The sequence below is a fragment of the Homo sapiens genome, chromosome 14, assembly GCF_000001405.40.
Source record: "Homo sapiens chromosome 14, GRCh38.p14 Primary Assembly".
NCBI lineage: Eukaryota > Metazoa > Chordata > Mammalia > Primates > Hominidae > Homo > Homo sapiens.
Genome location: NC_000014.9, coordinates 80,847,282 through 80,861,873, shown reverse-complemented (window position 1 = coordinate 80,861,873; position 14,592 = coordinate 80,847,282). Strand labels below are relative to the sequence as shown.

Genomic DNA, 14,592 nt, shown 5'->3' with positions numbered 1-14,592 from the left:
ACTGATTAAAAAATAAATCATTTTTCATCTATATAATTTGATATGTATGTTTTCTTTTATAGTTACAGTATAACAATCAAAATTAGGAAATTAAAATCAGTAAAATACTATGGCTTAATCTATACGTTTTATTCAAATTTTGCTACTACAGTAGTGTCCTTTCCTGATCCAGGATAAAATATAGGTTCACACATAGCATTTAGTTGTCATGTCTCTTTAGTTTCCTTTAATCTGGAACAGTTTTTCAGTCATCATGAGTGATGACTTCTCAGGGTGTAAACAATTTATTTTGTAGAATGGCTTTCATTTTGGGTTTCTTGATGTTTCTTCATGACTAGATTCAGGTTATGGACTTTTGGCTTGAAACTCAGATAATTGGAGTTATGTCCTTCCCATAGTATCATATCAGGAGTCATATAATGTTGATTTGTTACATTACTGGTGAAAACTGAACACTTGATTATTGTGTTGCCTACTGGGTGGATTTATCCACTGTTAAAGTTACAATTATTCTCTTAAAATTATTTAAATAATTTTAAGTTATTTAAATTTAAGTTATCCTATAAAGTAAAATTATCTTTGGGACTTGAACATATCCTATTGTACTTTTCTATTGTACTTTCTATTGTAAATTTCTATTGTACTTTTGCTCACTAATTTTAGCATCTATTATTGACTCATATGAAACAATTACTACTATAAGTAGTGCCAGATAGTGATTTAAAAATTTTTTTATGATTCCTTCTACATTTATAGAATCCTACTGTAAGAAAGAACTTTTTGTTATGTGCACTCATGGATTTTTATTTTATTATATTGGTTATATTTTGTTACTATCATTTTAGAATATTGTTGAAATTCCCTTTAAGTGTTTCTTTGGTCTATACATAAAATATAAAAAGTAGAAACAACAAGAAACACAAAAGATTCAAAACAAATGGGAATTCTTTTCATTTATGAAATGATTTTTCTAAGAGTTCTAAAAATACACTTATGTGTGCTTGTAGATCGTTAATCTTTATTAATCGACAGATTTTTTAAAGTTTTTTTCACTGTTAATTGAAAATTAGGAACAAAAATTGCAACACTGAAATTTAATGTAAGCTGATAGAAAAATCTGCTTTTGTTTTCTGAAATTCCATTTCCTTCCATTTCACAAAAGAAGACATACCCTTGTAAGTTGGTAATTACTTTGAAGAGGATATGTTGTTGAATAATTAGATACAGCATGTGGGTAAGCTTTTTTTTTTTAACCTTGATTTTTATACATTTGTTCTCAAAGCAAATTATATCTGGTGAGCATAAGAATAGTACTAAAGAGACAATTGTTCTTTTCTGCAAGAGAAAATTAGAGAAATTTTCTGTACTTATTTTCTTCTCTCTTTGCAGAATGCACAAAATTACAAAGAAAGAGGGAGAAAAAGATTGCTTCCCACCACTTTTCTTAAGATACCAGAGCCTGGGTATTTCCATTGAAATTGTCAATTTGACTAAAAGCTTCAGCTGTGATTTGGAATTCCATCTCTGACAATACAATAGGAGATCACTATTGATAAGAACTATTTAATTTCATATTTTGTTACTTTAATATAAGCAGTGACCTATACGTTTTTAAAAAGTGGTTTTAGATTATAAACAGAGTAGTGGAAGCTAGGAAAGATTAAGCTGATGTATTTTCCTGCTCCCATGTTAAATGGCTTAAACTGTTCCGGAAAGGTCATGTTTAAGGAGAGGAAACACTTTCCCTTCTTTTTATTAAAAATACTTATGGAAATTCCTATACCATATGATAATAGTAATTGATGCATTTTTTTCCTGTTTATGGTGAAAAATTAAATCCATAATTGAGCAGGTGGGCCTGAACTTCTAGCCACTGTGCTCTTTTGCCTTCTTAAAATGTATCTTTCAATGTTAATGAAAAATATGACATTTAAAACTTAAGACATTAAGAGTTTTTATTTGAAATTATAGGATGCAGAGATTTGAAGGTATAATATATTACAGGGAGGCATTCTGTGGTTTTGGCTAAAATCTGCTGCTGTTATCTCACGGGTCCTTAGGTCCTCAGAGCTTTACCTATTCCCATTTAATGCAAAAGCACAGTGTTAATCATTGGAAATTGGTCAAGGGAAAGCCATTTTCCTTTTCTGTAGGGGTTTTAAAGAATTGTTCACTCATTTCTGTTTCTTGTCCTGATTTGAACAAAAGGGCCATGCACGCCCAGGAATCCACTTCCTTTTTTGAGCCTCAGCTACTCATGTGCTATTGAAGTCACATGAATGCCAGATTTTCTTTCTTTTTTTTAAAAATTAATTAATTTATTATTATTATACTTTAAGTTTTAGGGTACATGTGCACAATGTGCAGGTTAGTTACATATGTATACATGTGCCATGCTGCTGCGCTGCACCCACTAACTCGTCATCTAGCATTAGGTATATCTCCCAATGCTATCCCTCCCCCCTCCCCCCACCCCACAACAGTCCCCAGAGTGTGATGTTCCCCTTCCTGTGTCCATGTGTTCTCATTGTTCAATTCCCACCTATGAGTGAGAATATGTGGTGTTTGGTTTTTTGTTCTTGCGATAGTTTACTGAGAATGATGATTTCCAATTTCATCCATGTCCCTACAAAGGACATGAACTCATCCTTTTTTATGGCTGCATAGTATTCCATGGTGTATATGTGCCACATTTTCTTAATCCAGTCTGTCATTGTTGGACATTTGGGTTGGTTCCAAGTCTTTGCTATTGTGAATAATGCCGCAATAAACATACGTGTGCATGTGTCTTTATAGCAGCATGATTTATAGTCCTTTGGGTATATACCCAGTAATGGGATGGCTGGGTTAAATGGTATTTCTAGTTCTAGATCCCTGAGGAATCGCCACACTGACTTCCACAATGGTTGAACTAGTTTACAGTCCCACCAACAGTGTAAAAGTGTTCCTATTTCTCCACATCCTCTCCAGGACTTGTTGTTTCCTGACTTTTTAATGATTGCCATTCTAACTGGTGTGAGATGATATCTCATTGTGGTTTTGATTTGCATTTCTCTGGTGGCCAGTGATGGTGAGCATTTTTTCATGTGTTTTTTGGCTGCATAAATGTCTTCTTTTGAAAAGTGTCTGTTCATGTCCTTCGCCCACTTTTTGATGGGGTTGTTTGTTTTTTTCTTGTAAATTTGTTTGAGTGCATTGTAGATTCTGGATATTAGCCCTTTGTCAGATGAGTAGGTTGCGAAAATTTTCTCCCATTTTGTAGGTTGCCTGTTCACTCTGATGGTAGTTTCTTTTGCTGTGCAGAAGCTCTTTAGTTTAATTAGATCCCATTTGTCAATTTTGTCTTTTGTTGCCATTGCTTTTGGTGTTTTAGACATGAAGTCCTTGCCCATGCCTATGTCCTGAATGGTAATGCCTAGGTTTTCTTCTAGGGTTTTTATGGTTTTAGGTCTAACGTTTAAGTCTTTAATCCATCTTGAATTGATTTTTGTATAAGGTGTAAGGAAGGGATCCAGTTTCAGCTTCCTACATATGGCTAGCCAGTTTTCCCAGCACCATTTATTAAATAGGGAATCCTTTCCCCATTGCTTGTTTTTCTCAGGTTTGTCAAAGATCAGATAGTTGTAGATATGTGGCGTTATTTCTGAGGGCTCTGTTCTGTTCCATTGATCTATATCTCTGTTTTGGTACCAGTACCATGCTGTTTTGGTTACTGTAGCCTTGTAGTATAGTTTGAAGTCAGGTAGTGTGATGCCTCCAGCTTTGTTCTTTTGGCTTAGGACTGACTTGGCGATCCGGGCTCTTTTTTGGTTCCATATGAACTTTAAAGTAGTTTTTTCCAATTCTGTGAAGAAAGTCATTGGTAGCTTGATGGGGATGGCATTGAATCTGTAAATTACCTTGGGCAGTATGGCCAGATTTTCTTTATTTGGTAAGGACCTTCATACATTGTATTTTAAACAACCTGGTTTGGTTATCTCATGGAAGTCTCTTCTTTAAGAGAGATGAGTATTTTAAATGGGTTGTATGACTATATTCTTTTAATATTATCTTTCTTAAATTGTAGATGATACTTTGAACTTTACTAATTCAATTCATGTTTTTTGTTGTTGTTGTTGTTGTTGTTGTTGTTTTTTTTTGAGATGGGGTCACTCTGTTGCCCAGGAGTGCAGCAGCATGATCTCGGCTCACTACAGCCTCGAATTCCTGGGTTCAAGAGATTCTGCCACCTCAGCCTCCCTTGTAGCTGGGACTACAGGCAGGCATCACCATGCCCAGCTGATTTTTTTGTTGTTGTATTTTGGGTAGAGATGGGGTTTTACCATATTGCCCAGGCTGGTCTTAAACTCCTGACCTCAAGTGATTTGCCCACCTTGGCCTCCTAAAGTGCTGGGATTACGGGAGGGAGCCACCACGCCCGACCTAAATTCAAGTGTTGTTAAGCCTATACCCATCAGCCTTTTCTGTGTACACAGTCAAGTATATAACATTGAGGTAAATTATCATACTATAAACTCCTTTTGATGAGGTGCTTGATAGTATCATAACTTTGGTTAGTTTAGTGGAGTGGGGGTAGGCTTGGTAGGTTGTAGTGTTGGGAAAGAGGTATGTAGACTGTAAACACACAACAAAAAAAAAACTGTAAAAAAAAAAAAAAAGCCAAAACCACTTTTTTTGCAGGTTCAATATTTACATAAAATCCTAGATAAAAATTTAAACTTCTGGTTTGCATCCTGGAAACTCCTGACTCATTTTTTACTGGCTATTTCATATACATTGAATATTATTTCTTCATCTTCAGCCGAATTACTTAAAATGAAAAACATGGCTGGGCATGGTGACTCATGCCTGTAATTCCAGCACTTTGGGAGGCTGAGGTGGGCGGGTCACTCGAGATCAGGAGTTTGAGACCAGCCTGGCCAACATGGTGAAACCCCGTCTCTACTAAAAATACAAAAAACAAACAACAGCAACAAAAAAATTAGTGTGGTGGTGCACACCTGTAATCCCAGCCACCTGGGAGTCTGAGGCACGAGAATAGCTTTAACTCGGGAGGCAGAGGTTGTAGGGAGCTGGAATTGTACCACTGCACTCCAGCCTGGGTGACAGATTGAGACCCTGTCTCAAAAAAAAAAAAAAAAAAAAAAAAAAAAGAAAAGAAAAACATGAGATAAATGCTGGACACACACACACACGCACACACACACACGCAGGCACACTCCAGAGCACTTTTATGAGGCAGGGTCACACTCACCCACGCTGGAGTGCAGTGGTGTGATCATGGCCCACTCAGTCTCAACCTCCCAGGCTCAAGCGATCCTTCTACCTCAGCTTCCCAAGCAGCTGCAACTACAGGGGCACACCATTACACCCAGCTAATTTTTGTATTTTTTGTAAAGACAGGTTTCGCCATGTTGCCCAGAGTGGTCTCAGACTCTGGACTCAAGTGATCTGCCTGTCTCAGCTTCCCAACTTGCTGGGATTACAGGTGTGAGCCACCATGCCTGGCCGTCTTCAGAGCATTTTATAGCATATTAAGTCAGTAGTTTCTCCCTTATCTGTATCAACAATATTCTATGCTTACATATGATCTAGATGCCTTAAAATTAAAATTTGTTTCATGGGGAAGTCTGTGGGATAGGCAAGGGCATGGAATCTTAATAGACGATGGTGAAGTTTAAGTGAGAAATTAAGTGTTTAAGATGGGAGCTCAGCTCAGTGGCTTTTAGTCTGTTCTGAGGGACAACCAGGTTATGTGAAGCTCATCAATAAACTAAGGCCATATGAAGAAAAATTAAAGTAATCGATACTTTTTTTCCAACATTTTTCTTCATTTTTTTGGAAAAACCTAATGAAGAAGTAGCTATTCATTTTTGTCCAGAAATGTAATTATGGCCCCAGAGATGCTGAGTAATACAGATACCACATAAGAAAAGCCTCGGGTACCCTTTATTAATGTATTTAGTTTGGACTCATTAAGGGAGAAGCTTCCATGAAACCTAGGATGTTTTTCTAATGTGTTCTTAATAGCTTTTGCGTCTCCCTTGAGGCTTCTGTGATATTTCGAGTATCACACAGCAGGGGAGAACCTAGTCAGGCAAATATTCTAACCTGGCTTCATTAACCCCTTTTCCTGCACTTTCTTTCCAGACTCCCCTACTTTGTTTGGAGTCGTGGAGGCCTTTCCAAGGCTGGCAGATCTTGGACTCGCCTTTGCTTACCTTTTCAAGGTTCAGTTGTAAAACTTTTGTTTGATCATTCACTTTGCCTCCCTCTTGTTTCCATAACCAATGCCCCTTTTTTTTTGTAGTCATCTCGTACATTTTTGCATACAGTTATTCATATTCATATTTTGCATAGTTATTCATAAGTTTTCCTTTCCCTATTATATTGTTAGATGTTATAAATGCCCATTAAAATCACTCTCGTATTGATCATCCCAGCAGCCTCTCTAATCTTTGAGAAGGACCAATAGAGTTTACAAGTAAATGAAAGTTTAAAAGTCAAACACAATCCTGTGGAAAGCAGGAGGAAAACTCAGAGGATGTACTTTATTTTTCTTATTCTTAGGACATAAGCCCTAGAATTGAGTCCTTGGACAGGACTGTGTGAGCCCCATGGGGTTCGGTAAGCAGAGAGTAACACAGGCAGGGTGTCAGAGCCCTCAAACCACCAAGAGGCTGAAAGCACTATCACAACAGGACAACCACACATGTACTACTTTGTTGGAAAATGCGTGTAGCAAGTGAAAATCCTAAAACTCCTACTCCAGTGTTTATTCTTCACGGGGTAAAGTTGTGTGTGTAGTATAAATCGGGGCTTATTTTGAGCCACACTTTTTATTCTTTTAACCAGCTTTAATCCCATTGACTATTTTTCTTCTTCTGTAAAGATGGCATTTTTTTTTCTTTCACTGTCCAGTTTCTGGTAATACATATGTGAGAGCTTTGTCCCCGATTATTTATGTTACTGATTCTTGATATGTTCTCTCTTTTAATTTTACCTATTTTGAACACTTTTCATTTCTAGTATTTGAAGATAATACTTACTAAATATTTGTTTAATACGTTAAGTAGTGACCACATTAATACACTGTTTTGGTCCTGTGTTTAACTAGGTTTATTTCTCACGTAGTTCTTTTAACATTTCATTATTAAATATTTAGTACAAAAAGCGTTTTTTAATATAACTAAATGTGATCATATGAAATATTCAGACATTCTCTTACAATACAGGCTTATTTATTTATTTACATGGCTGATTTTTTTCCTACATCTCTTCCAACTCTGTTCTTTCATCATGAACCACTTCTCTTACCCCTAAAAAAAGGAACTCATGTTGACGGCCTGGAAGGTATCCCTTTATATTTTTCTGTTTGCTTTTAATTACCTGGACTGATGTATATAGACTATATATACACCTTTGCATATATATGGGGACTTTTTGGTCATGTATTCGTTTTTAGAAAATGAGATCACATTTAGTATACATTTCTGCTTCTTGTTTTTTCCTTTTTTTTGCCAATGTTTTCTGGAAGTTCATCCAACTAGCTGACATGGTTCCAATGTAATCTTATATTGCCATTGGTAGATCTTATTTTTCCAGAGGTTCTGAAACTGCACGTTGTTCTGCCAGCAATGGTTGAGTGTAGCTCTTTCCCCCACATTCTTACCAGAAGTAGTGGTTATAATTCTTTAAGTTTTTGCCATCTGATCAGTATAAAGTGTTAACTCATTTTTATGTTTATTCACTTTTCTCTAATAGTGAATTTGAGCATCTATTCACACACCTCTTGGCAGTTTGCATTTGTGCTTACATACAGTGCCTATGTATGACTTTTGCTCATTTAAAAATATTGGATTATTTGGGATTTCTCTCTTTCCCCCCGGGGATTTTTTTTTTAATAGGAGAGAGGAAAGGATCTAATTTGCTTTTTATATGACTCATCAGTTGCTTCAGCATCATTTTTGAATAAAAATTGGTTCTTTCCACTCTAATTTAAATGCCACATCTGTTGTATATCTAGTTTCCTACAATATCTATCTGACCTCTATATGCTTTGCCATTGATTTGCTTGTCTAGCCCTATACTAATATAATTCTTTCTTAATTATTATAGGTTTTATTATCTTTTGGTAAATGATAATGAAAATCTCTTGTCCTATTCCATGAAAAATCATGCTGGCATTTTTATTGCGATTGTATTAAGTACAGACTAATTTAAAGAGAAGGTCTTTTCTAATGTTTTCCAATAATGTTTTATAATTGTCTGTATAAATGTCTTAGACCTCTTTTGTTAGACTTATTTTTAGGTACCTTATGGTTTTTCTTTCTATCTGGAATGGGATTTTTTTTTAAAATTGCATCTCTAATTGGTTATTTTTAGTATACAGGGGTACAACTGGCTTCATATATGGTTCTTATATCCAACAATTTTGCTCAATGCCCTTATTAGTCCTTATAATTTCTTAATAGCTTTACTGACATACTATCTTAGTGTATAGATAATCATATCATTTGAAATTAAAGGCAATTTAGTCTCTTTATAATTCTTTTCTTTTTTTTTTATCTTATTGCACTGGTTAGAACCTGAAGTCTAATATTAAATGGAAGCAAAGATAGCAAGAATTCTTGTGTTACTTCTATATTTGTATGATTCTTAAGTGTTAAATGTTGTATGGTGTTTGCCCCTACTTTTTAGTGCTAACCTTTGTCGCATTAAGAACATTGCCTTCTATTCCTAGGTTGCCAAGAGATGTTTGCTGTTATTTATTTATTTATTTTAAAAATCATGAATGGGTTGTGAAATTTATCAGATATTCTTGCTGTGCACTTAACTTTGGGTATTTAAATATATTGATTTAAATATGGTTGATTCCATCAATAGATGTTGAGCCCTCCTTGCATTCCTGAGAACTTTATTTGATTATAATTTTTTTTTATACATTGCTGAATTAACTTGCTATTTTTTTCTTAGGATTTTTATATTTGTGTTTATGATTGAGATTAGTTTTCCTTGCACTGACGTTTTTGGTTTTAGAAGCATGGTTACATTAGTGTCATAAAATGAATTAGATGGATTCCTTCTTTTCCTATTTCGTGGTTTAGTTTTGTGTAAGAGAGGGATTATCTATTTCTTGAATGTCTGTTGAAACTTACCCATAAAACAATTTGTGTCTAATATCTTTTTGGTGCTGCAGATTACTAATTTTTTTTAATGTTTATTGGGTTGTATAGCCTGTTTATTAAGTCAATTTGGTAATTCATGTTTAAAGTCTTGCTAGAAATAGTATTATTTTATTAGTTTTCTTTTTGACTGGCTTTGTTTATTGCTTCATTAACTTCTGCTCTTAACTCTGTTACTCTCTCTTTCTCTTCATTTAAAGGATTATTCTGTTTTATTTTTTAGGCTTGAAAATTGAATGCTTGATTGATTTTTCTGCTTTTTTAAAATGAATAATGAAAATTTAACCAAATTACCATATGCTTTGTTATACTTTTATGGTAATTTTTTTTCAAAATCTTTTATAATTTGTTACAATTTTCTCTATAACTCAAAACTTATTTAGGAATGTCTTTTGGTATTTTCAGAGATATATGTGTGCTTATTTTTAAACTCTTTTTATTGTTTTTAATTTAACTCCTTTGAAAGTTGTTGAAACTTCCATTTTGACCTAATTCTATGACCAATTTTTTGTAAGTACTCCAGAGTAAGAAACAAATATTTTTCTGTGTTTTGGATGCAGAATTTTATGTGCTTGTGCATGTCATACATGCATACATACACACACACATATATAAATTTAATAGGTCATTTGTGAATTTTGTTGTTCTGTTCTTCTGTTTTCTTAGTACATATATCTAAAGCTTCTCATTATTATAGAGATTATCAGTTTCTCCGTGTGATTTGTGTCAGTTTTCTTTTATCTGTTTTGTGCATGTGGTATCTTATGTATAATTAAATTACTTCTTGGTCAATTATTTAAAAAATATTACCTAGTGTGCCTCTTGATTTTAACATTCTTAAGATTACTTTATTCATGGCATATCATTTTCCCTCTTTAATCTTTCCTTAGTATTTCCATTTTTCCATGTTTCTTACAAAACACCTTATAGTTTGTTAAAAATAACTTTATCTTATAAATTAATGGTTGCATTAGTCATTTTATACTTACTGCGATTATTGGAATATTTTAAAGTGTTTTTATCTTATTTATTTTTTTTTAACTTCTCTTTTTGTTTCTTTTTCCCATTTCTATTTGGAGTGGAGTATATTATATATTCATTTTTATACTTTCTGTTTGCTTTGGAGCTGTAGATTATATTTCTGTTCTTTTGATAGCTGTTCTAAGATTTTAAACATACAGTACTTATTAGTCTAAGATATCTATGTTCCAGCTACATTGGATTCTTCTCAGTGTCTTACTGGAACATTTTTCTCCCTTCTCGTTCCTCAGGCTCAATTGTGACCTCTTTAGGGAAAACTTTCCCGTTCCTCCTCGCCTTCTAAAATCGCCCCTTCAGTTCCATTGCTCACTGTCATGTATCATATTACTCTATTTTTAAAAATAGCATTTAACACAAACTATAATTATTGTTTGTTTGCTTATGCTATTATATGCCTTTTGCCAAAGAATGTAGACTCCATTGGAGGGGCTTTGTGCATCTCGTTTACCCTTGTTTCTGGGACAGGTAGTACAGGGTTTATCACACAGAGCTCACTGAACAGGTGCTAAAGAAATTGACGTTTCCAAATGTAAGTGATTGTTCAGCTGCATATAACATTCTTGGTAAATTTCACTCCAAGATTTTTATACCTTGTGTTACTCTACTGCTCTCATTCCTGAAGACAGAAAGTAAAAGTTAAACAATTTTAACTTATTTGAAGTTTATATAGTAGTTACAATGATATATTCAAAATTCCATAAACATTCTTCAAGAATTCAATCATAGTTAAATTAAACATAATTCAACTCTATAAAAATAACATTTTCGTATAGTGGGTTGCTGGTTTTCAAACTATACTGACAACTTAATAAAGACAGCTGGATTTTTGATATCTTTGTGTTTAACAAAGTTTGAAAAAGAAATTTAGAATGGAGATGCCCAGATACATGCATTCTAAATGTAGACCTCTTTGAAATATTAATTATGGATTTATGAAGAATGTTAACATAGCTGTGTGAGCGTGAATAAAGTGACATTTCATGGAACTGTTTCCTTTGTGAGCTGACAGCAAATGCTGATTGACTTTTCTTTTGGGATACTGCAAATAATGGACAGAAAGAATTTTTAAAGAGACTTTGTAGATACAATTCCTTTTCTTCGTGTTTTTCTGAATGTTTGTGAGGGCAATATCTTTTAATTTAGATTTTCACATAATTTGCATTAAATGTTTTAAATAAATTGATAAAGGTCATAGAATACTTGATAGGGAATTACTACAAGTTTTGACCACTAGTCGTCAGTATTGAACCATTAATTGTGAAGTAGTAGACACTGTTTATTAAAGTTGGCCAAATTTATTGAAAAACAATTATTTATAGTGTGTATACTCTCAACTCTTAGGGCTTTCTGAAAGTGTACTTGGCACTAGCCTCACAAATGAAAAAAATCTAATTAACTGTCTGTTATTACAAATTTAAATTTGAAACGGTGTTACCCTCTGCTGTTAAAAAGTATGACACATTGTGTATTTTATATGAAGACACCTGCTGTATTTATCATGAAAACTGTCATTTCTTTGCCTTTGTATTATAGTTTCATGCTTCCTCTTCAGGATTACAGGTTTTTCCCTTCTTCCTTCCTCCTTCCCTCCCTCCCTCTATGGAAGAAACTATTTATATCTAGTAAAACAGATTATAATTTGATATGAGCATTTTTTTCGCGGGAATCATATATTCCCATTCCCTTTTCCACTTTTAATATTTCGAAGCTGTGCATGCAGAATTTTCCCAAAGATACTTTCTATAAATATTCATCTTATGTAGACCTAAACCTCTTTCTCCTAATTGTTATTTTCTTGTTTTTGGTGGTGATTTCCTTTTGTACACTGTTGTCCATCTACCCAGTTATATTTATTTTCTATTGGTGTTCTGTTGGATAGTTTATCCAACAGATAGATTATCCTTTGCCTATTTTTTCTTTAGTTGTTGGAAAAGCATTTTTTATAGCTCTCATGACTCATTGTGTTTCTAGTTAATTTGTATTTCTATTAAGTACCCCAAATCCCTTTTTAAAAAATATTAAAGTTGTGGTATTAATTATTCATTGCTCAAAAAATGAAAAGCTGTTATTTCTTATATATCTTTGTCCATACTGTGGTCAAGTATTAGGATAGTATTTAGAACTATAACCTCATTATTTCATCGTTTAATGGATTTTGTATGGTTGTGACAAAAAAGTTACAGTTTTATGTTTATTATCTGAGAATGAGATCCTGAAACTTTCCTCGCCAGTGTTAGTCTTGGATGGGCAATCAAGTTACAGTGATGCTGTGATTCAAAGCCACAAAGTGTGGGCGAACTTGGGTCTCTGGAGCTCCCAGTTTCCAGTTCTTTCTCCTCCTGACCTGTGAACTTGTTTGGAAGGTGCAAAATCTTACTCTTTTTGTGTGGTTCATCTTATAATGTTTCTTCTTAAACAGATAGATAACCATCTTGATAAAATAATTTGTTTTATATTTTAAAACCTTTATATGTTTCCTTTATGTCTTTGCCTCTCCTTTTCTCCTGTTCTTTACACCAAGTCTATCATTAAATTTTGTCAGCTCTATTTAAAAAATATTTTTTTAAATTGGAAACTGTTCATTTCCTACCACTACATCTCCTCTTTTGCTGGGGCTAATGCTGTAGCCTCCTTGCTTCCATTCTTACCTCCTTGTGGTCTTTTACAGAATCAGATAATGTCACATCTTTCTTCAAGACCCTTCAATGGTTTCTTTTGTTTTTTTTTTGAGACAGTCTCACTCTGTTGCCCAGGCTAGAGTGCAGTGGCATGATGTTGGTTCACTGCAGCCACCACCTCCTGGGTTCAAGTGATTCTTATGCCTCAGCCTCCCGAGTATCTGGGATTACAGGCATGTCCCACCATGTCTGGCTAATCAATGGTTTATTTATAGACAATAGATCCCCTCTGATCTGGTTTCTGAATTCCTCTCACCCTAATTTTCTTTCTTTCTTTCCTTTCTTCTCTTTTTCTTTTTTTTTTTGTTTTGAAATGTAGTCTTACTCTGTCTCCCAGGCTGGAGTGCAGTGGCACGATCTTGGCTCACTGCAGCCTCTGACTCCCAGGTTCAAGCGATTCTCTGCCTCAGCCTCCTGAATAGTTGGAATTACAAGCATGCGCCAAGACACCCAGCTAATTTTTTGTAATTTAAGTAGAGATGGAGTTTCGTCATGTTGACCAGGCTGGTCTCAAACTCCTGGCCTCAAGTGATCCTCCCACCTTGGCCTCCCAAAGTGCTGGGATTAAAGGCACGAGCCACCATGCCCAACCCCTAATTTTCTATTGTTGTTCTTCTTGCCAACTCTAGGCCAACCATCCTGGCCGTCTTGCTTTTCCATGGATATACCATGTACCTCCTGCTCCTGGGCATTTGCACTTTCTGTTCCCACAGCTAGGAATTTTCAGCTCTGAAACAGTTGTACGGTTTGTGCGCTCATGTTCAGAACTCTACTTCAGAAAGCCCTTATTGACTATCATAGATAAAACACTCCTTCACTCCTGAGCCCCTTGCACTGTTGTATGTTTTCTTAACACTTTCATTATTTGTCAACCATCTGTCCCCTTGAGCAGAATGCAGGCTTTATGGAGGCAGGGACTTACCTGCTTTGCTTGTTGCTGCATCCCCAGTACCAGGACCAGTGCTTGGCATAGAGTAGGGGCCCAGTAAGTGTTTCTTGAAGGAATGAATGAATAAATATTGCTTACTGTATAGTAACTATTCATTCAGTAAAATATTCATTTGGCCAATACTATCATGTACCTAATATAATTCAGGTACTGCGCTGGGGACTAGGGATTTAAAGATACCTAAAATACTATCTCACCTTTTAGGGACCCCTAGTTTAGTTGAGGAAATAGAGATGTTAACTATCTTTGCAATGCAGTAAGGGCATTATTCCACATTTGTGTAGTCTACAGAATATCTCAGAGGGGAAATAATTACCTCTTTATGGCCCCTTGGGGAAAGTTTGGGTGAGAGAGGTGGCATTTTTGCTAAGACTGTATTTTCACATTATTTTAGGAAATTCTTCATGAATGTGATTCTGCCCCACTGCTTGTTGTTAACATGTCAAGCACTTTACCAATCAATGGCTGAAACACTTATATAAATTTTGACCTACTATCATTTTTATCCATACCATTGCTCTTTGTCCTATCATCATACACCATACTAATTATTTTCTTCTTTATATTTGTTACTTGTGGTAACAAATAACAAATTTTTTCTTTGCAAAGATGAAATAAACATTGTTCTCTATAAGACTGTGAGAGAACCATTAATGTCGACATGCTGATAAAAAGAAAATGGATGGTGAAGAATGATTGACTATTATAGGATTTAGTTTTCAAAGGCGTTTGAACACTA

General features: G+C 34.6%; 1 protein-coding gene across 15 annotated transcripts in view; it reads left to right on the top strand.

Annotated features, from left to right (window-relative positions):
• CEP128 (centrosomal protein 128) overlaps positions 1-14,592 on the top strand; it is a 482,534-nt gene that overhangs the window by 97,629 nt on the left and 370,313 nt on the right. The window lies entirely within an intron of this gene.